Genomic DNA, 22,091 nt, shown 5'->3' on the forward strand with positions numbered 1-22,091 from the left:
CCATGGACTGTGCCCATAGAAGACGGCGAGCTTAACTGACAACACGCTGTGGCTGCTCCACAGACCAGCCACTCCCCGTCTCGCTCCTTCTCAAGCCTCCCTATTCCCCGAGACACAACTTTACTGAAATCAGTCCAATTCAGAACCTACAACGGCCTATAAGCGTTCAGGTGAACACAAGAGTTGCAAGTGTCTCACTTGAAATCAAAAGCTAGGAACAACTGAGCTTAGTGAGCAAGGCACGTCAAAAGCAGAGGAAGGCCGGGTGCAGCAGCTCATGCCTGTGTTCCCAGCACAGTGGGCAGCTGAGGAAGGAGGGTGCTTGAGCCCAGGAGTTCAAGGTCGGCCTGGACAACACGGACCCCATCTCTACAAAAAATAAATTTAAAAAATTAGATGGGCATGGTGATGAGTGCCTGTAGTCCCAGCTACCCAGGAGGCTGAGGTGGGAGGATCCCTTGAGCTCAGGAGGTTGAGGCTGCAGTGAGCCATGATCGTGCCACTGCACTCCAGCCACAACAAGAGCAAGACCCTGTCTCTAAAAAAAAGAAAGCTGAGATAAGCTACAAGCTAGGCCTCTTGCACCAGCAAGCCAAATTGTGAATGCAAAGGAAAAGTTCCTGAAGGAAATGAGAATGCCACTCCAGTGAACACACGAATGATACGAACACAAACCAGCCCTATTGCTGATACAGAGGAAGTTCGGGTGATCTGGAGAGAAGGTCGGACCAGCCCCACTGCCCATACAGAGGAAGTTCGGGTGATCTGGAGAGAAGGTCAAACTAGCCACAACATCCTCCTAAGCCAAAGCCTAATCCATAGCAAGGTCTCAACTCTTTCAATTCTATGAAGGTGGAAAGAGGTGAAGACGCTGCAGAAGAAAAGTGAAGCCAGCAGGGGCTGAGGCTGAAGGAAAGATGCCGTCTCTGCAACGTACAAGTGCAAGGTGAAGCAGCAAGCGCTGACGGGGAAGCTGCAGTAAGTCATCTGCTAAGATGCAGCTGAGACCACTGATGAAGAGGCTGCACCCGCCAGACTCTCCATGCAGACGAGACGGCCTAAGTCATCCGCTAAGATCCAGCTGAGACCACTGACGAAGGGGCTGCACCCGCCAGACTCTCCATGCAGATATGAGACGGCCTAAGTCATCCGCTAAGATCCGGCTGAGATCACTGATGAAGGGGCTGCACCCGCCAGACTCTCCATGCAGATATAAGACGGCCTAAGTCATCCGCTAAGATCCGGCTGAGACCACTGATGAAGCGGCTGCACCCGCCAGACTCTCCATGCAGATATAAGACGGCCTAAGTCATCTGCTAAGATCCGGCTGAGATCACTGATGATCTCACGCCTGTAATCCCAGCACTTTGGGAGGCTGAGGCGGGCGGATCACGAGGTCAGGAGATCGAGACCATCCTGGCTAACACAGTGAAACCCCGTCTCTAGGGGTTTCAAAAAATTAGCCGGGCGTGGTGGCAGGCGCCTGTAGTCCCAGCTACTTGGGAGGCTGAGGCAGGAGAATGGTGTCAACCCGGGAGGCGGAGCTTGCAGTGAGCCAAGATCACACCACTGCACTCCAGCCTGGGCGACAAAGAGAGACTCTGTCTCAAAAAAAAAAAAAAGGATTCTAAATTGACTCGGCTTGTGCCATAGAAATGGCACAGCAAAGCCTGGATGGCAGCCATCTGTGTACAGCATGGTTTATGGAATATTTTAAGTCCACTGTTGAGATCTACAGCTCAGAAAAAAGATTCCTTTCAAAATATGACTGTTCGCTGACAATACGGACAATGCAGCTGGTCACCCAAAAGCTCTGACAGAGACGTACGCAGACAGTCACGCTGCTTTCATGCCTGCTAACACAACATCTGTTCTGCAGCCCTTGGATCAAGGAGTCGTGTCGACTTCCAAGTCTCCCTATTTAAGAAACACATTTCTAAGGCTATAGCGGCCAGATTCCTCTGATGGATCTGGGTAAAGTTCACTGACAACCTTCTGGAAAGGATTCACCATTCTAGATGCCATTAAGAACATTCACGATTCACAGGAAGAGGTTAAAACAGCAACATGAACAAGAGTTTGGGAGAAGCTGATCTCAACCCTCAAGGATGACTTTGAGGAGTTGAAGACTTCAGTGCAGGAAGTCTCTGCAGATGTGGTGGAAACAGCAAGAGAACTCGAATTAGAAGTGGAGCCTGCAGATGGGACCGAATTACTGCAATCTCAGGATGAAACCTGAATGGATGAGGAGTTGCTTCTTACGGATGAGCAAAGAAAGTAGTTTACTGAGATGGAATCGAGTCCTGGTGAAGATGCTGTGAACACTGAAATGAGGCCAAGGGTTTAGAATATTCCTTAAACTTAGTTGACACAGCAGTGGCAGGTTTGGGAGGACGGAAGAAGCTCCATGTGGGTAAACGCTATCCAAGAGCACTGCGTGCCATAGGGAACCTTTTGTGAAAGGGAGAGACAATCACGTGGCAAACTTCATCGTCTTATTTTCAGAAATGGCCACAGCCACCCCAGCCTTCAGGAATCAGCACCCTGATCAGTCAGCAGCCATCCACATTGAGGCAAGACCCCCACCAGCAAGATCAGGATCGTTAGCATTTTTTAGCAATGAAGTATTTCTAAATCAAGGTAACTATATTTATTTTTTAGACATAATGCTATTGCACGCTTAACAGACTATGGCCAGGCCGTGGTGGCTCACGCCTGTAATCCCAGCACTTTGGGAGGCCGAGGCGGGTGGATCACAAGGTCAGGAGTTCGAGACCAGCCCGACCAACATAGTGAAACCTCATCTCTACTAAAAATACAAAAATTAGTTGGGCGTGGTGGCAGGCACCTGTAATCCCAGCTACTCAGGAGGCTGAGGCAGGAGAATCACTTGAACCCAGGACGTGGAGGATGCAGTGAGCCGAGATTGCACCACTGCGCTCCACAGCCTGTGCAACAGAACAAGACTCCATCTCCCAAAGAAACAAACAAAAAACCAGACTACAGTATAATGTAAATATAACTTTTAGCTGGGTGCAGTGGCTCACGCCTGTAATCCCAGCACCCTGAGAGGCTGAGGTGCATGCATCGCCTAAGCCCGGGAGTTCTAGACCAGCCTGAGCAACATGGCAAAACTTTGTCTCCACAAAAAAATTTTAAAACTTAGCTGGGCATGGTGGCACATGCCTGTAGTCCCAGTTACTCAGGAGGCTGGGGTGGGAGGATCGCTTGAGCCCAGGAGGTCAATGCTGAAGTGAGTAGAGATTGCGCCACTATGCTCCAGCCTGGGTGACAGAGCAAGACCCTGTCTCAAAAACAAAAACAAAAACAAAACCCCACACAAAAAACCCCCTTAACTCTTATGCTTACTGGGAAAACAAAATCTGACTGGCTTTCTAGGGGTGTTCGCTTTGACTGTGGTCTGGAAGCAAACCCGCGACATCGCTGAGGCCGGCCCAAGACGCAGCTGCAGCATACGCATCCGCGCTACCAGACGCCGCGGGAGGGCCGGCTCCAGGGTGACGGGAAGGACAGACGCTCACAGACACGACTGCTGTACGTGACCCCCTTCCTGACAGGGCACGGGGCGTCGCAAACACGACTGCTGTACATGACCCCCTTCCTGACAGGGCATGGGGCATCGGCCGCAACACCGAGACAAGACCCATGGGGTCGGCCTCAGTCACAAACCCCTTCAGGAGGGAAGAGCCACGGGGTGCTACAGGCAGAGCCAGCACGTGGTCCACAGAGTGTGGGGCATGAAATCGCATCACAGACGCAGACGCCCTGCCGGGTGGGAGGAGGACCCTTCGGGGGTGCTGCTGATGCTCAGGAGCCACTGCAGCTCTGGGACACCAAGTCTGTGTCCCCACGTACCCCAGGCACACCGGGTGAGTGAGGCCGCTGCAGTCATACCACAGCCTTGTGTGCGGAGCCCGCACCACCAAGCACGCCCCAGCCCTTCCTTCCTTCTCTGCGCAGAGAGGGCCCTGTTACAGGTACGTGTGAAATAGAGACGGGCCACAGCAGCTGCACGTCTGGGAGCCCTGTCCTTGGTGGGTGGTGGCCATACCTTCTGTGGCTGGCGTGGGGGCCACTGCCGATGCTGCAGTCTCGGTCCAGGCAGCCCATCCTCCCAGCAGGTCTGGGTTGCTGGACGAGGCTGTCATCTTGCTGGGCTCTCCTGGCAGATCCCCTGGGAAGAAGGAACCAGAAGAGAGCACAGTTTGGTGTCTCAGCAGCAGGCAAATGTGGCGGGGCGCCAGGCTGTGCTCAGGGCCCTAGGAGCGGACACCTCTTGCACCCAGGCTGAGCTGAGGCTGGGCTGACGGCCTCTCTCTTCCTGAAGGGTCCTGAGGATGCATCCCATCACACAGAACTGAGCGAGTGGACGTAGGGGCACCAGCAGGCGGAGCAGCTCGCAGGCCAGGCTGAGAACAAGCATCTGCGCATTCCCATCCAAAAGGGTTTGTCAGGACCCCACTTTCTGCCGCCATCCCCACAGCCTGCGTTCCCGCCTCTCCTAAAACCCACCAGAGCCCGAGGTGGCTCCACCTGGCTGAGCTGCCTTCGGCAGACAGAGGGCCCAGCAGGTCCTGTCTGCCCTGGCTCTGGCCACGCAGCACACCTCTGGCGGCACCCGCCCCAACGCTGCAAGGCTGCACTCCACACACCCGCCCACAAGCCATCCTGCAATGGTCACCATCATCACCCCAGAGTACGCCGTGGACCACGCTGCTGCCTCCTCAGGAGAGAGAACCCAGGCTCCTTCCCCTAGGACCACACTGGAGGGGCGCGCAGCCCTCTCCCAGGGCCTGGCCCCACCGGCGTCTGTCTAAACAAGCCATGCTGTGCCCCGGCGCCTGACCTCCTCCCCATGGATACGGTGCCCCACGGCCCCTGCTACACCCAGACCAGGTCAGCTTCCCGGACCCTGGGTCCCCCAGCTGCCTCCCTCTGACCTCTGGTCCCTACACAAGCTCTGGGTGCAGGTGGCCTTCTCTGCTAACAGCTGCAAGGCCTGGGCCTGAGGAGGCCTGGAGAAACACCTGTTGCCAGTCACAGACGACTGAGGCACTGCAGGGCCCCACAACCTGTTCCAGGTTTGGGGATGGTTTGGGGAGACAGAGCAGGGAGCAGTCTGTCCTGACCTCTGGGACGTCCTGCAGGATGCTTGGGCCGCAAGGAGCGCACCCGGAGGCCACACAGTCCAGCCCCACCACTGCCTGAGACCCACAGCTCTGTTTCCCACCAGAGGCTGCGGTCCTGAGGGAGGCGGCCATGGAGAGCTGGCTGCCAGGCGAGAGGCACTTACCCAGGTGCAGGAAGTCGGCGCTGCAGGATGGGGGCGGAGCACTGTGGGCAGACGGGAAGGATGGTGGGACGGTCACAGAGTCCGAATTGAGAAATTCGCCGAAGAGATCAGGATTGGAGCAGGGCTGGGAGTTGTTGCCTGAAGACGGCAGAAGCGGGCCAAAGGGGTCAGCTGTGGGGACAGGCGGGCATGGGGAGGACTCAGCCCGGCTGCCTGAAGACAAAGGAGCCCAGCTCTGGAGTCAGGCCTGCCCAAGAGGCCACTCCAGCTGGGCAGCCCAGACCCCACGGCTGCCCTCGCAGGGGCACTGAGGCAGTCAGCCCAGGGGCTCCCCGTGCCCCACGCCTCAGGATGACTTTCCCAGGGACACAGCAACACTGCTGAGATGGAGAAGCCAGTAGCTCCCGGCCCGTGAGCTCAGGTGGGCAGCACAGAACCCTGACATGACCCCGAGGCTGCTCCTGGGGGAGGTGGGGGAAGGGCACGTTCCCTTCCTGCAAGCACCTTCGAAACACGCCCATGCAGTGAGAATGACTCAGCCTCATCACTCATCTACTGTGAAGCCACTCGCCTTCAGAACAGAAACACGTACCAGCGGCAGGGGGCCCTCCTCTTGGGGTGCTCTGCACGCTCAGGGGAGGGGCCGGGCTTGCCAGGAGCAGCGGGTCCTCGCTGAGCAGATCCTCCGGGGGCCCCTGGGAGGCGGCCTCAGGGGGCCCAAGGAGGCAGCTGAGCAGGTCGGTGTTGCTGGAGGGGGCCTTGCAGGCCTGCGGGGGTACAGCTGGCCCTGCGCCCACCTCGGAGTGCAGGCCCAGGAGGTCGACCCCGTCTTCCTGTGGCACAGGCTCTGGCAGCACAGCCGGTGTCTCCACCTCAAAAACCAAGTCCTGCTGCACCAGCCCTGCTGCCAGGCCGGGGGGCTCTGGGTCGGCCCTGGGTTCCTGGCCCTCGCTGGAGATCGGGGATCCCCCTTCATCTGACACCTCACTCTCGTCTCTGTCCTCCATCAGGGCAGACTCGCTCTCCTTGGAAGAGGCATTTTCTGCACCAGTCTCTGCCTCCTTCTCTTCTGCGAAAAGGAAACAAAACCACAGGCTAGTGAGACCACACGGCCAGCACCAGGGTCCCCACGGCGCGTCCCTTCAGGGCCTCCTCGGCCCAGGGCCTTGGTGAACACACGTGGCCAGCACCAGGGTCCCCACGGCGCGTCCCTTCAGGGCCTCCTCGGCCCAGGGCCTTGGTGAACACACGTGGCCAGCACCAGGGTCCCCATGGCATGGCCCCTCGGCACCTCCTCGGCCCAGGGCCTTGGCAAGTGCTGCAGGAACACCAGGGTCCCCACGGCGCGTCCCCTCAGCCCAGGGCCTTGGCGAACCCACATGGCCAGCACCAATGTCCCCATGGCACGGCCCCTCAGCGCCTCCTTGGCCCAGGGCCCTGGCGAGTGCTGCAGAAGCTTCTGGGCGGGCGGTGGGGTGTTGTTCCTGAGGCGTCTCCAGCACACCCACCTCCAGCCTCTGCCTCAAGGGTCTGCCTGTGGCTCTCTCCGCCTGGGCCTCTGCGGTGCCTCAGGCTGAGTCAAGTGGGGGCCACATGGCAGCACTAGGGGGTAGGAACACCAATCAAGGGTGCTCTGGGAACAGGCGGCAGAAGGGACGAGCCCGATGGGAAGGCCAGGGGTGCTGGGACAGGAAGTGGCAGGTGCATCCCTTGGGGTGTGTCTGGGGTGAGGTCCAGTGATGGCGCCCAGGTGTTTTCCTGAAAAGCCTCAGAGGGGCTGGGAGCCCACTGGGGGTGTGGGCAAAGAGAGGTGTGGGATCCCCAGGTGGTGACAGTCTGTCCCTCCGCCCAGGCCCTTCCCCTGTACCCAGGGGCCCCGCCAGCATGGCCCATGCTGCCAGCCTCCCCAGGCCCACAGACTGGGATGAAGAGCGAGGGTTGTTATTTCAGACTTTGTGGGCATGTTCTTTTTTTTTCACCTTTAAAAAGATATGAAATCATTCTTAGCTCGTGAGCCATTAAAGAACAGGCTGACATGCCGGGTGCACAGCCCCACTGAGGTGCAACTCAGCTCTGCCGGAGGCCCGTCTCCCAAGACGCTTGCCCTGCCCCAGGGGCACCTCCAGACCAGGGGCCTGCCCTCTGCAAGTGGCCAGGTCCAGGGACGCTGCCTACCCTGCCAGTCCAGCGTGTGCAGGAAGCGACTGGCGTCCGCGCTGCTGCTTGGCGGTGAGTCAGAGTCTGTGGGTTCGGCTTCCGGGGACCCTGCCCCAGCATCATACTGAGCCGTGGAGCCAGGCTGCCGGGGAAGCTCCGGCTTCCCTGCAGGAGAGGGAGGGCGTCAGGGCACTGGCACTGGCCAGCAGCCTCGGGGCAACACTGACCCCAGAGCTGGGAAGTGCAGCCAGGCGGGCGCCAGCACCGTGGCAGGCCAGGCCATCGGTAAAGCAGACCAATGACATGACGGGGAGGGGCTCTCTGAACAGATTCCTGCTATCCACTCGGATGCCACTCTGGGCCATGCGTGCACACTTGGGCACAGCACACGCACACATGAACACGCACAAGGAACCCACCACTGAGGCATCAAACGCCACACATATGCAGGGTACACATGAATGCACACACACAGCTGCACGGTACACACGAATGCATAGAGCACACACACAGGCGCACAGTACACACAAATGCACACACACAGATGCAGGGTACACACGAATGCACACACAGCACACACAGATGCACAGTATACACGAATGCACAGACAGCACACACATAGATGCAGGGTACACATGAATACACACAGCACACACAGATGCACAGTACACATGAATGCACACACAGATGCATGGTACACACGGATGCACAGACAGCACACACACAGATGCAGGGTACACATGAATGCACACACAGCACACACACAGATGCACAGTACACATGAATGCACACACAGCACACAGATGCACAGTACACACGAATGCACACACAGCACATACACACATGCAGGGTACACACGAATGCAAAGCACACACAGATGCACGGTACACATGAATGCACACACAGCACAAATGCACAGTACACAGGAATGCACACACAGCACACACAGATGCATGGTACACAGGAATGCACACACACAGATGCACAGTACACACGAATGCACACACAGCACATACACACATGCAGGGTACACATGAATGCACACACACAGATGCACAGTACACACGAATGCACACACAGCACATACACACATGCAGGGTACACATGAATGCACACACACAGATGCACAGTACACACGAATGCACACACAGCACATACACACATGCAGGGTACACATGAATGCACACACAGCACACACAGATGCACAGTACACATGAATGCACACAGTACACACAGATGCACAGTACACACGAATGCACACACAGCAGAGATGCATGGTACACACAAATGCACACACACAGGCACAGTACACATGAATGCACACAGCACACATAGATGCAGGGTACACATGAATGCACGCACACAGATGCACGGTACACACACATGCACACACTCGGATGCACAGTACACATGCATGCACACACACAAATGGACGGTACACACGAACGCACACACAGCACATACCGATGCATGGTACACACGAACGCACACACAGCACACACAGATGCACTGTACACACGAATGCACACAGCACACAGATACACAGTACACATGAATGCACACACCACTCGTGCACACACACACACGGCACACACCACCCACGGACACATACACAGCACGCACAGGTCACACATACAGCCTCTTTCAGGGACGCTGAAGATGCTCAGAAAGAAAAAGCAAACACTGCAAACCAAGAGCCGAGAACAAGCGTGGCATGAGCAGTGGACGGCCCTGGGCCCACCTGCCAGCACTTCCTGGGCTGCCGTTTCGAAACTGCTCGGAAGTGAAGAGCGACAGGAGCGAGGGTTCTGTTCCACATGCTGCCAGCAGGCCTGAGGCTCACAGTGAGAGTGGACGTGTGTCCAGCACACATGACAAAAATCTGACCCAGACACACGCCTGGGACAAAACCCCGCTTCGCTCCAGGAGCCTGGGTTTTCCTCCCTCTGCCTCCGTCCCTGCCCATGGGCCTCAGAAATTGCAGCCTGCGAGTCCTTCTCTGGTGTAGCTGGTGGTGGTGTCCAACATCCACGACGGAGTTTCCAAAACCTCCTGCAGCCCAAGCTGCTCAGGGCCTGGGTGCAGCAGCAGGCGTGGGGCCCAGCCCTGCCAGAGCTCAGCCAAAGGTGTCTCTCTCCACAGAGACACTCACCAGAACAGGGTTCACCTAATTCACCTGCGGGATCTTACCAAACTTAGACAGAATGTCTTGCTGCTCCTCCCGGCTGGAAAACAGGATTTTGGGGTTCAGCCCCCTCATGCTCGAGTTCTCCCATGGTGGGGCTTCCCGGCTCGGCCTGTCCCTGGGCTCCACCTCCACTTCCAGGTTCACTTGAAATAAATCCGGGTATTTTTCTTGAATGTCACACGCGTCCAGGTCATACCTGCGGTTACAAGTAGACACCACTTAGGAAGGCCACCCAAGTAGTCTGTAAGTCCTTGGACATTCACTAAAGAAACGTGCATGGAAACAGGTGGCAGCTGCAGGCAGCGGGGCGAGAACAACCAGGGCAGCCGGCCACCCCCGCCTGCGGAAGCTGGAGCCCTGTGAGCTGACCCAGCAGCTGTCCCAGGAACCCACAGGGCACCAGCACCCCCGGTCACGGCCCCAGAAGAGCATCATTTCACTCGCTCCTCGGACGTCACAGTGGGGATGCCCGCGACTGTGTTCAAGGCAGAGGGGCACCGGGCGGGGCCGCCATGTTTCCTGCAACTCCAGGGGAGGCCACGTGCTCAGAGCAGACGGGACAACATCCCACAGCTGGAGACTCCGGCACCCAGGCAGGCAGCTCTGAGGTGGGACCCCAGGGTTCCAAGGCAGGCGCTGGCCCTCACTACCCAGCACACACAGACTGCAGCCACCCGGCAGCTCAGAGCACGCACTCTGGGATACTAAATGTGTTTTCCATAAAAATGACGACGTCCGCCCTGACAAAAATCCACAACTGTCAACAGATGCCCATAAAACCAAGACCTCTAGAATCCGGCTGCCAGGGAATTGGGAACATGATTCCGGGGGAAACAAAGCTGTGTTCACTGTGGGGCTGGGGAGGCAGCCCAGGCTGAGCTGTGGGGAGCAGGGCAGAGGTCAGCAGGGCCTGCCTTGGGGTGTCGGCCGTGCGGGTGGGGAGCAGGGCAGGGGTCAGCAGGGCCCACCTTGGGGTGTCGGCCATGTGGGTGGGGAGCAGGGGCAGGGGTCAGCAGGGCCCGCCTTGGGGTGTTGGCCGCACGGGGAGGCAGGTGTGACCTGACACTGACCATTTCCCAGCCCCACAGCTCTCTAAGGAATTCCAGGCTATTTCACACATTTCCTATGATCATCTCTGATCCCACTGTCATAAACTGCACTGATAAGCCTGGGCTCTCCAGCGGGCAGCAGGCTCCCCATGCCTGTCTTATTTTACGCCACCTAAAATCTCTACATGTTGAATGTTATACACCTAAGAAAATAAAGAAGAAACACAAAAGAGTGGCGGCCAGTTCCTGGGAAACCCAGGCTGCCAGTGTCTGCAGGGCCAGGAACACCCAGAGCAGAGTGGGATCCGCCGAGGGAGGGCAGGGAGACGGGCCCGGCGGCCTGTGTGGGTCAGAGCCACGGCTGGTTTTAACTGTCACTTCTCTGAGCTCCACACATGCCTGTGATGTGTGAAAGGCCTCTAGTTCACCCCTTCCTGCTCACCCTCTAAAACATCCTCTCCCTGCACGAGGGGAGAGCACCCTGTGCCCGCCCTGAGGGGTGGCCAACCTCACGCAGAGCAGCGCCCCCTCAATGCCCACTCAAGGCTCTGGGCGGAGGTGGCCACGGCCGAAGCCGGGACTGATGTGCACTCCAGCCGGGGCCAACACGAGCTTCCCCCTGCGCCCGAGCCTCTTTGCGTGCCGCTGTCTGTCGTCAGGGGTGGCAGGGACTGCACAGCGGTGGCACAGCTGGCGTGGAGATGTGGAGGAGGCAACGTCTGCAGAGGAGCCTGCAGGCACCAGCAGAGAATCCGACGGCCACCGCAGCGGAGGCTCAGACCGGCCACGACCGAGGGCGGAGAGGCACAGTGGGAGGGGCACGGAGGGAGGGAGTGTGCAGGGAGCCAGGTCGGCCAGACGGGCTTGGGTCCTGGGACAGACCGAACTTGGGCAGCCCCAGAGGGAGTGCCGCTCATGCCCAGCCTCCCTCCCCCAGCTGCCCCTTGAGATGGCCCTGGGCACTGGGCCTGCAGGCTCGGCTCACCCAGCCTGGCGCTGAGGGCACAATGAGGTCTGTGAGCAGGGCTGGCCACTCCCGAGAGCCCTGGACTGCAGAGGACACTGCCCGCAGGCTCCTGCCAGACTAGCTCCAACAGGGCAGAGCGGACTCCTGACAGGCTCAGCTGTTACATCTGTGCCATGGCTGCAACCCTGTGCTCCTCTCGCCCAGGCACGGCGCAGGCTCACCACGCAGGGAACACGCCTCTCGCCCAGGCACGGCGCAGGCTCACCACGCAGGGAACACGCCTCTCGCCCAGGCACGGCGCAGGCTCACCACGCAGGGAACACGCCTCTCGCCCACAGCGCAGCCTTGATCTCGCAGGTTCAAGCAATCCTCCTGCCTCCCAAAGTGTTGGAATTACAGCTGTAAGCCACTGTGCGCAACCAACCTTTCTTCCTTTTAATGTATGCATTTGAAGTTACACATTTCCTCTAAACCCTGCTTCAGATGCACCCCACACATCTGGTAAGTGGTATTTTGATTATCAATGTGTTTAAAATATTTTCTCATTTCAACAGTGATTTCCTTTTTGGCACACAGGTCACTTAACGAGCATACGGTCTCTGGGTGTTTTCCTGTCACTGATTCCCACTTTAATCCACTGTTGAGATGCCTTGAGACTTGCTGTATGACCCAACGTGGAGTCCACTTTAATAAACGCCCACTTGAACAGATGCCATTTCTCCAAGTATTCGCTGAAGTTTGCAAAACTCAGGTCAAGTTGGTTAAACCTTGTAAAAAAAAAAAAACTATATCCTGTTCTTGTCTACCTGTTCCACTGCCTGGGGAGAGAGGCGGCCATCAGCGTGGGCCTGTCAACTTCACCCCTCCTTCTGCCCTTTGTGCTGCCTGTACTGAAGCCATGTCACTGCCCTCGCCCCTGCAACGTCACCCGTCACCTCCTGCCTTGGTCTATCCCACCTGATATGGACAGTGACACCAGCCTTCTTCCTGTTATGGTCTGCATGGTAAGCAATTTCCAATTATTCCACTTCAGCCTTGCTAGGTCTTCGTGTGCAAGGGTTTTGAAGTATGGCTCCTGTAAGCAGTATAGACTTGAGTTTTGTGTGAGCTTGGTTTTTAATCCAGCCCGATTAACTGGAGTGTGTCTTCTATCCACCTTCAATGGGATGACTGACAGGCACAGCAGGGCGTCGGTCTACCAGCTGGCTGTTTTCTATCTATATCCCACCTGGGTTTGTTTGTTTATCTCTACGTTGTTCTGGCGAATTCATCACATATTTTTTGTTCCATTTTTCTTCTTGATTGCATCTTTAATCTGCCCTAGGGATTGGTACATTCTCTGCTTCCTGGTGATGGAGCTCCTGAAACACATTCACTCGGTTAATCCCCTCCTCGGCTGTGTGTGTGTGTGCGCGCTGGTGCTTGTGTGTGTGTACATGCACACGTGTGTTGGTGCTCCTGCTGTCTGTGTGTGCGCACGCGCTGGTGCTCCTGCTGTCAGATATGTTACTACCAAACAGGTTTTAAAACCCACAGGACGTTAGTATTGGTGTTTTAAGCAGCTGGTGCTGGTGTCATTTCACCACAGAGTCATGCATTCCAGCCTCCCTGCCCTTCCTTCCCTAGGCTGCAGGCTTTGCAGGCTTGCCTTGGATACTTGCTGAAATGGAGCAGTTCTGCCAACAATCAACTCTCTCATCCTTTGCTTGGCTGAAGACATCCTTAACTGGCTTTCATATTTCAAGGATAATTTCACTGGATATAGAATTCCCGTATTTTTCTCTCAGCACTTTAGAGACGGCGCGCCTCAGCTGCCTTCGGGTGTCACTCTGCAGGTCATGCATTCCCACCCCGTCCTGTCCTCGGGCTGGAGATTGTTCTCTTCGGGTTCCAGCAATTCAACCAGGATGCTCTGAGGTACTGAACCTCTTTTCTTCTTTTTGTTAAAAAAAAAAAAAGTATCCTCTTTGGCGTCTGCAGAGCTTGATTTCGTGGTTCTGACGTCCTCCATCAGTTTAGGAAAATTTTTGGCCAATGATTTTTCAAGTATTATTTCTGTTCCACTCTCTCTCTTCTCCTAGAACTTCAAGTAAAAGCATGCCAGGCCCCTGCAGTGCCACAGTCTCTCTCGTGACCCTCTCTGTACGTGTCTTCTTCCATCCTTTCTTCTCTGCGCTGCTGTCAGAAGATCTTTTCTACCAATTCAGAGTCTGTTCTGCTGTGCCTATTCCACTGTTAATCATGTACTGAAGCCTTCATTTCGGCTGTAATATTTTTCAGTTCTAGAATTCACATCTGTCTCCTTTTTATGTTCCAGATCTCTGGTGAAATTCCCATCATTCCCCCGACTTTCTTGAATAATCAATCAGTTACCAAAGTCCCTGCCTCCTGCCTCCAGCATTTAAGTCCCCGACAGGTCCTTCACCGACATTTTCCTCTTCATCATCAGTACCTTGGTCTTTAAAACACTATTTTAAGCACCGCCTCCACCGTGGCTGAAAACTCTAAGAGCACTGGGTGTTTTTCTTCCTCCAAAGGAGGAAAAAAGAAACAAAATTATTAAAGTTGCGAATATGTGAGTTAAAAAAAGAAAAGCGTAAGACACAACAAAGACAAGAGATGTAAAAAAAGAATCACAGAGACAGAAAAACACAAGAAGACACCCCGGTCTCCCGGTGCAGGCCGTCCCTGACAGCAGCAGGCGCCAGCTCTTCCTGAGCTCACCCAGGCCAGGCCAGCACCCCTCCCAAGGTGCAGAGTCCGCCAGCATCCCCGTGGGGCTGGCCCAAGGCTTCCCTTTGTTTACTGGGTAGGAACCAAGAGCACAGAGCCTGGAACACAGCAGGCCCTGCAGCCACAGCCTCTGTCTTGGGAGCCCCCGTGGGTGCCCCCTCTGACTCCTGGAACAATGTTTGTTCCACTGTGTCTTGGCAGATAAGCCTGCCTGTGATTGAGTAGAAAGATCTCCAGTTAAATGGGAGGCCGAGGCAGGTGGATCACTTGAGGTCAGGAATTCAAGACCAGCCTGGCCAACATAGTGAAACCCATCTCTACTAAAAATACAAAACTTAGCCATGCGTGGTGGTGCAGATCTGTAATCCCAGCTACTCAGGAGGCTGAGGCGAGAGAATCGCTTGAGCCTGGTGGGTGGAGTTGCAGTGAGCCGAGATTGCGCCATTGCACTCCGGCCTGGGCGTTAGAGCGAGACTCTGTCTCAAAAAAAAAGACAGACCTCCAGTTAGAATCAGGACGCCCGGGTGTGAGAGCCTGCTCTGCTGCTCACCGCATCTGCACCTGAGCCTGCAGAGGGCAGGGTATGCGCTGTTGGGCACCAACGTCAAGAGGACAGAGAGCTAACAGGTGCTGGGCATGGCAGGGGTGGGGGCCATCCCGTGGCTGCGCTTGTTTACAGAGGGAGCTAACAACAGAGTGTGAGCTTCCAGACAGGACTGCCCCGCATCATCTCCAGCCTCCGCCTGGCAGGGCACTCTGCACACAGCAGGCTCAGGAACGTTTGCTAAGATGCAGCCGCCACCCGCTCACCTGCTTACGCCACGCCCGGGTGTGAGGGCTAAATTCTAACAGACACACACACCAACGGGGGGGCAGAGCAGCAGCCACCGGGTCCACCCCAGCAGCCTACACACGCGCAGCTCCAGGATGGCCCAGGAACAGGCCCAGAGCCACCAAGCAGCAGTCACACAGCCCGCCACTCCCCCTGGGGCTCCCACGACCGGCCCACATGCAGGTGCTGCGGCACAGGGCACCTGTCCCTCCCCACCGAGCACAAGCGGTACCAACGTACTTGGCAAATTTCACAGTGGTGGCGTTCCGAGGCACAAACCCCGTGTGGAACTGAATCTGGAACATCTTCATGGATGCCATCTGCAAAGAGAGCAAACACGACACCCCACGTGGAGGGTGAATCCAGATCCTGGGGCCACAGGCCAATTTTTCCCAATGGGCGAGATCTGAGAGCGGCTCATGGTGCTGGAGGCATGGACGGCGCCCCCGTGCCACATGTTGTGGGGGAAGCGGGAGAGGGTCTGTGTGTGGCAGGTAACCCTGAGGAGAACGCATGGGCCCACAAGCTGCTTCACGGGACTGCCGTGGGGGCTGCCCCAAGTGGACCCTCAAACTCAGTCTCGATGGAAACGCCAGGCTTTTCAGGTTGAGATCCTGCCGCGTCAAGTGCACGGGGCAAGCAGGGGGCGCTGTGGGGCAGTCGCCACATGAGAGCCCACGGCACTCACCAAACAGCGAGCACCCTGGACCCTCGGTGAGAAGTGAGCGCACTGTGGCCCCCAGCCCCCCATGAGCCTAGGCGTGAGTGGGGAGCACCGGGCAAGCCACAGGCTCTCTCACCTTGGCCTGCAGCCGGCCGCCCAGAGTGGACCGGGCGTGATAGATGACGATGAGCACGTCTCCTTGCACCGTGACGCCCAGGGGAATCACCGCTTTGCCATCTTCAATCTTAAAGTCCCTAAGGACAGAATGACAAGAGAAAAATTTTAAAAACCCCCAAAACCAACCAAACAAAAACAACAAAAAACAGAATGAGAAATTGTCCACTTAGCTAAAATGTGTAATAACCAATAAAGAATAACCCCCATGAAGAGCCTCACAAGAATTCTAAAGTCTCCTGGGCACTCGGATCCCTGTGACCTCCTGCTGCTGACCAGGATCCCATTCTCAAGTCTCCTGGACACTCGGATCCCTGTGACCTCCTGCTGCTGACCAGGATCCCAAGTGACCTGCCACAGACGCCACAGTTCCAAACACGTCCGCCTCAGCAAGCGCCTGTCCCCGGCAAGGCCAGGGTTCCTCTTTAACGGTTTTCCGGAGGGGTGAGGAGGAGGGAGCACAGCGTGGGGCTGCAGCTGCACTCACCGCATCTTGTCGTACTCCTGGGAGGTGCTGGCCACACGCTCGTCCCCCACGTAGACCTCGCAGAAGGGCCTGCAGCCGCTCCTCTGCTTGCTGAACAGCGGCACGGGTGTCATGACCACGGCCCTCACCAGGATGGGCTTGCTGTGGGGTGTGATGGGCTCCTCCGCCACCATGTCACACATGTACTCGATGTACCTGGGGGCAGACGTGCCGCGTCACCACGTGACGTGCCCTGAGAGGGGACCACACAGCTGATTTTGTCTTTCGAATAGAAGTTTTTCATGCTAGAAATTTCCCTTGTAGCAATGTTTTAGTTGCTCCTAACAAATCTGATGTTATAATTTTCATTTAGTTATATATATATGTGTGTGTGTATACATATATGTATTTTTAAGACAGAGTCTTAAAAATACGCCCTAGTTGAAGATATTTTTAAATTTCTCGTGATACTCCCACTTTTACTCATGGGTTATTTAGAAGTTGCTTAATTTTGAGGCCAGGCGCGGTGGCTCACGCCTGTAATCCTAGCACTTTGGGAGGCCAAGGCAGGTGGATCACAAGGTCAGGAGTTTGAGACCAGCCTGGGCAACACGGTGAAACCCTCTCTCTACTAAAAATGCAAAAATCAGCCGGACTTGGTGGTGTGCACCTGTAATCCCAGCTACTCGGGAGGGCTAAGGCAGGAGAACTGCTTAAACCTGGGAGGTGGAGATTTAGAGAGTTTTCCAGATATTCTTCTGGTATTGATTTCAATTTTTATTCCACTGTGGCCTGACAGCATAGTTTGTCTGATTTCAAATTTTAAAAATGTATTGAGGTGTGTTTATAGCCCCAAATCTGATCTTTCTCCTTGCATATTCCATGTGCATTTGAAAGAAATAAATGTGTGTTTTTCTATTGTTGGGTGGAACGTCCTAGAACGCTCTACAGCTGTGTCAGCCTTCATGGGTTGGCACATTCGGTTCTTCTATATCCCTGCTGGTGGTCTGTCTACTTGTTCTACGGATTACTGAGACGAAAATATTGAGGTCTACCCTACAAATGAGTTGTCTGGTTCTCCTTTCAATTTGATCAGTTTTTGCCTGATGGATGTGGAATGGAATCTGTTTTCTCTGACCTTGGTAGCACAGCTCTGGCTTTCCCGTGGCTGGCGTTCCCGTGGTGCCTCTGTGGAGCATAAACCCCCCAGAGTCTGCCTCCCACCTCGTGGCACCCATGCCCTGCAGGAGGCCCTCTCCCGGAGCTTGTGCGGGCCAGGCAGGTGACACCACTTCTATGGTGACGGTGCAGACCCCATCTTCCCAGCCACAGGACACTGTGGCCCAGCTCAGTCAGCAGGGAGCCAGGACAGCCGGTCCTTCAGCCACAACAAATAAATCCTGCCAACAGCCCGAGTGGCCAAGGAAGCAGATTCAGAAATGAAAGAGAAATCGGCTTTCTCAGAGTCAGTGCGGCCAACACCTTGAACGGAGGAGAGGGCCCAGCTAAGCCTCAAGGTCCAGGGAGACCACGAGAGAATGGATGTGTGTGGTTCTAAGCCCGAGTGTGTTGTGTCGGGTCATGTAGCAATGACTAGTACGCTCTTCCCCCACCATCCTGTTCTGAACCCACCTCTGCCTCCGTGCTGAAAGAGGACTTCCTGCAGTGTATGGCCGAGCTGTGCGTTTCTGTCCCATATGGCAATGCCTGTCTTTTAAACAAAACCACTCATGTTCAGCCTGAACACTGATGTGGCTGGATTAAAATCTACCATCTTGCTGGCTGTTTCCTACTTGTTTGATCTGTTCTTGGTTTCTTTTTTCTTCTTTTCGCCTTCTCTTGACAAGGTTTATGTTTTCCTTTTACTTCCTGTTGACTTCTTAATTACAGCACCGAAGAAAAACCCTTACTGTTTGTTCTAGGCTTTCTGACGAGAACCTTGCGGCTGACATCTTTCTTTTTGTACCTGATGCATCTTCTTCTGGCCACCTCCAACACTTCCTCTGTGCTCGGTTTGCAGGAGTTCTGACCGGTATGCACCCGAGTGGGTTTTCATGTGTTCATCTTGCTTTCATCCTGCTTGGTGACCTCTGAGCTTCTTGAACCTGTGGACTGGTATCTGTTACTCATTCTGGGAAATTCTCAGCCATGATTTCTTCACTGCTCCCGCTTCCCTCTTCCCTTTCTGGGCTCCACGTGTGTGTGCCCCTGCCTGAGGTGGAGGCAGCTCTTGGGTGCTTGTTCTACCCCACGCTTTCTCTCTGTGATTCAGTTTCAGTATCTCTCGACCTGGCTCCAAAGGCCACTGACTCAGCCTCAGCGATGTCGAAGGCGTTCTCATTTCGGGGATTTCCATTTGCTTATTTCCTGGCATTTCCACGGCTCTGAAGAGTGGCCCACTGGACCGCGCACCTGCCTGAGGGTCCTCTTTCCACAGCTCTGACGAATGCCCCACTGGACCATGCACCCTGCATGAGGGTCCTCTTTCCACAGCTCTGACATGTGGACCACTGGACCACGCACCCTGCATGAGGGTCCTCTTTCCATGGCTCTGACATGTGGACCACTGGACCATGCACCCTGCATGAGGGTCCTCTCTCCACAGCTCTGACGAACGCCCCACTGGACCGTGCACCCTGCATGAGGGTCCTCTCTCCACAGCTCTGACATGTGGATCACTGGACCACGCACCCTGCATGAGGGTCCTCTTTCCACGGCTCTGACGAATGCCCCACTGGACCGTGCACTCTGCATGAGCGTCCTCAGCACATCAATTAGTTACTTCAGTTTCCCCCAGAGTCACAGAGTGCAGCTCTTTCTCTCGTCTCCTCCATCTGGAGGCAGAAGAAAGGGTCTCGGCCAGGTCTGGGCCTCCCTTATAGTAGCTGCGCCCCCTTGCCCGGCCCTCACTCTCCCATCTGTCCTGTGGGTGCCCACAGAGACTGTGCCTTCCAGAGGGCAAGGACCCTTCCAGTCCTGCAACCCTGAAGGCTTCACTCGCCCACTGAGACACCTGGCCTCCACCGGTTGGACTCTTTCTGGCCTCCTTCTCTTCTGGGGTCCAGTTACGTCCACCCCAGACAGCACACACACACCTCCTCCCACAGGCACCTGACTCTCCTTAGATTCTGGGCCAGTGATGTGAAAAGGCCATGAACTTGAAGCTGGTCCAGCTAGCTGCCCGGTGGGAGCAGCACTCTGCACATCTCTCTGCTCCTCCAAGGAAGGAGCTGTGGGATTTGGGGGTCATGGAAGCCCAGCCACATGCCACAGGGAAAGAGACTCCCTGGTTCTCAGACGCCCCCTGCTGAACAGGCCCCACCGCACCTGGCCTGGGGGTGCCAATGGCTTTCAGCTCAATGTGTGGAGGGGCTCCCAACTTTGCACTCCTCTTGCCGGGGGTCACACAGAAGACAAAGCTGGATGGGGCGGCAATGATCTCCTCCCCCCAAGGCTGTGAGCAAACGAGGTGGGGCCCTCCCTGGGGATCCACAGCAGCAGGAATGGCCTCCTGACCCTCGCCCCGTCCACAGGCTGTGCGCCCCATCCAGAGGGGATAAAGAATGGGGAGTCCCCTGACGCTTGGGTCCCTCCTCTTCCCTCCCGCCACGGTGGGGCCACGGGGCCGGCCTTTGCTCCTGGGCCCTAACCCTTGGGGCCTCTGTGGTCCAGGTCAAGACCTGCTCTTTCAGAGGCTAGGAGGCTGCTCCAGCCTCACCAGGTCCTCATGGAGACCAAGGCCAGGGGAGGCTTTCTGCTGGGGTGGACTCCTCGGGCGTGGACACCTGCAGCCCCGAGAAACAGGGAGAGCCCTAAACACGCTGTGACCACACTCCCGTTTGAGAAACAGCCTCCTCCACACGGCCAGGGAGAGCCTGCTGCGCGCTGAGGTGGAGCGGCACAGAAGCCTGTATTTGGCAGGGCCCTAAACACGCTGTGACTGTACTCATGTCTGAGCAGCGTCAGGTGCTCCACACGGCACCTGTGTCAGGTGCTCCACACGGCATTTTCACGTGCATTATCCACCAGAGCCCACCACATACATGGCATTTGTCAGAGAACCTAGGATCCATGCACAAGCTGGGCAGGTGCTGCCCCACAGCAGTCAGGACTACCGCGGCTGAGGGCCCATCCTCCCCGGGCTCTGCGGCCGTAAGCCCAGGGCTCAGCCATGGCTCCGCGAGGCCGGGCCTGCCTTTCCCACCAGCGCCTGCAGCGGCACCGACTGGCCCTCCAGGAGACACCACAGCGGGGGCGGCAGTGCCACACGGGCCCACAGAGCTGTCCCCTGTCCCCGGAGGGCCACGCAGTACCTTTTGTGGGATGGCCAGATGCCTGGTGGGCAGCGCTTCATGCTGAACATGTACACGGCGGCCTCCGCGGTGCTGAAGAGACGGCAGAAGCACAGGAAGGAGCAGACGGCCACAGCAGACGCGGCTCTCCCGTCCTAGGACAGACAGACACGTCTCGCGTGCGCCTCGCACTCATGCAGGACAAGGGCTCGCGGGGTCCTCGGGCATCCTACCCACCCTGTGGCTGCAGGGACGCAGGGCTGTTCCTCTCTGAAGCTGGGATATGTTTAGGGAGCTACATAACGTGCCTGCCGAGGCAAGAATGGAGCCCAACAGAGACTGAAGGTTCCCTAACGAAGAACAGGGCTAGGGCCACTCCAACAGGCTCTGCTGGTGCCCCGTACCCCGCAAAAGACCCCTCATGGAAACCTCAACTCCATCACCCACAGTGGCAGCTGCCACACCCTGGGAGGCTCAAGCACCACTAAGCCTCGAGCTGCAGATCGGGAAACTGGAAGTGACTCTTAGGTGGCCACCGAGCAGGAGGGGAGGTGGGCTCCCCACACAGCGGAGTGGCCTCCACACGGGCATGCAGGTCAAGGCCAGGAAGGGCCACATGGGGAGGGAAGGGCGGGGCCATCTGTCATCTGTCCCCTCCAGACCCAAAGACACCAAGCACAGGGACTTTCTTCCGTGTCCCAGGGTGAAGAACAGGCCCCAGCTCATGACTGGCGCTCAGATCCTGTTGAACTATGCATGAAATAATGAACTTTGACAGAAGACGGCGCCAGCCCACGGCCCTCGAGCTCACCATGCAGTGCACGACGCAGACGTTCTTGTGGTCCTGCCGCAGCCAGGCGTGCATGTTCCTGCAGATGTTGTACAGGGTGTGCAGGTGTGGGGCCCGCCGTGCTGCCCAGCCACACTCGGAGACCTGTGGGGACAGGGCACGGTGGCACGGACGGCAGAGGAGCCCCGCCCCAGCCTTGGTCAGCTAGGAGGGACAGCCTGCCTGCAGTGCGGGGGCCTCCGCCAGCTGGTGTCATGAACAGGCGTCCACCTGCGCGAGACCTGAGCACCAGGGCTGCCACTGGCCTTGCAGACAGAGCTCAGTCAGCTGTTCCTGGGCTTTGGGTCCCTTTGCATACTGACAAGTGTCGTGTCTGGAAGGAATGCCTCGGCCTCGAGCACCCTCTGGCTGGTGGGAAGCAGTGAGGAGCTGGGGCCTCCAGAGTTCCCGGCAAGCGGCATCCTC

The 22,091-nt window shown here is 56.6% G+C and overlaps 1 protein-coding gene and 1 non-coding gene across 51 annotated transcripts in view, besides 3 other annotated features; one reads left to right on the top strand and one right to left on the bottom strand.

The window, feature by feature from the left end:
* The window catches only part of GAK (cyclin G associated kinase), an 83,040-nt gene that overhangs the window by 11,773 nt on the left and 49,176 nt on the right, over positions 1-22,091 (bottom strand). For 24 of the 48 annotated variants that reach the window (XM_047450019.1, XM_017007992.2, XM_047450021.1 and 21 more), the window contains 10 exons: positions 21,648-21,770; positions 20,858-20,991; positions 16,566-16,760; positions 16,041-16,158; positions 15,481-15,560; positions 9,662-9,855; positions 7,490-7,636; positions 5,907-6,383; positions 5,315-5,485; positions 4,073-4,195 (listed from right to left, as the gene is read on the bottom strand). In XM_047450019.1, coding sequence (XP_047305975.1) covers positions 4,073-4,195; positions 5,315-5,485; positions 5,907-6,383; positions 7,490-7,636; positions 9,662-9,855; positions 15,481-15,560; positions 16,041-16,158; positions 16,566-16,760; positions 20,858-20,991; positions 21,648-21,770 — 1,762 coding nt within the window. The remainder of the gene's footprint in view (positions 1-4,072; positions 4,196-5,314; positions 5,486-5,906; positions 6,384-7,489; positions 7,637-9,661; positions 9,856-15,480; positions 15,561-16,040; positions 16,159-16,565; positions 16,761-20,857; positions 20,992-21,647; positions 21,771-22,091) is intronic. The other 24 variants (XM_047450022.1, XM_047450025.1, XM_047450031.1 and 21 more) reach the window with 3 other exon arrangements.
* Positions 5,288-6,487: an enhancer, noted in NCBI's record as "CDK7 strongly-dependent group 2 enhancer chr4:860125-861324 (GRCh37/hg19 assembly coordinates)". NCBI's record gives its function as "activates an origin of replication core promoter dependent on BRD2, BRD4, P300/CBP, MED14 and CDK7 cofactors, with strong dependence on CDK7, by STARR-seq in HCT116 cells {active_cell/tissue: HCT116}" and the evidence as "EXISTENCE:reporter gene assay evidence [ECO:0000049][PMID:35650434]".
* LOC105374341 (uncharacterized) lies at positions 12,019-14,245 on the top strand. Of its 3 annotated transcripts, none has more exons than XR_001741544.2 (3): positions 12,019-12,176; positions 12,252-13,592; positions 13,993-14,245. It is a non-coding gene; the product is annotated as an uncharacterized LOC105374341 (transcript). The 3 variants fall into 3 exon arrangements; XR_007057988.1 differs by having other exon boundaries at positions 12,252-12,679; XR_001741545.2 differs by lacking the exon at positions 13,993-14,245 and having other exon boundaries at positions 12,252-12,679; positions 13,463-13,733.
* Positions 18,120-19,319: an enhancer, noted in NCBI's record as "CDK7 strongly-dependent group 2 enhancer chr4:872957-874156 (GRCh37/hg19 assembly coordinates)". NCBI's record gives its function as "activates an origin of replication core promoter dependent on BRD2, BRD4, P300/CBP, MED14 and CDK7 cofactors, with strong dependence on CDK7, by STARR-seq in HCT116 cells {active_cell/tissue: HCT116}" and the evidence as "EXISTENCE:reporter gene assay evidence [ECO:0000049][PMID:35650434]".
* Positions 18,949-18,998: an enhancer, noted in NCBI's record as "active region_21138". NCBI's record gives its function as "activates an Ori minimal core promoter by ATAC-STARR-seq in GM12878 lymphoblastoid cells {active_cell/tissue: GM12878}" and the evidence as "EXISTENCE:reporter gene assay evidence [ECO:0000049][PMID:35858748]".

Source organism: Homo sapiens, chromosome 4 (assembly GCF_000001405.40).
Source record: "Homo sapiens chromosome 4, GRCh38.p14 Primary Assembly".
Lineage (NCBI taxonomy): Eukaryota > Metazoa > Chordata > Mammalia > Primates > Hominidae > Homo > Homo sapiens.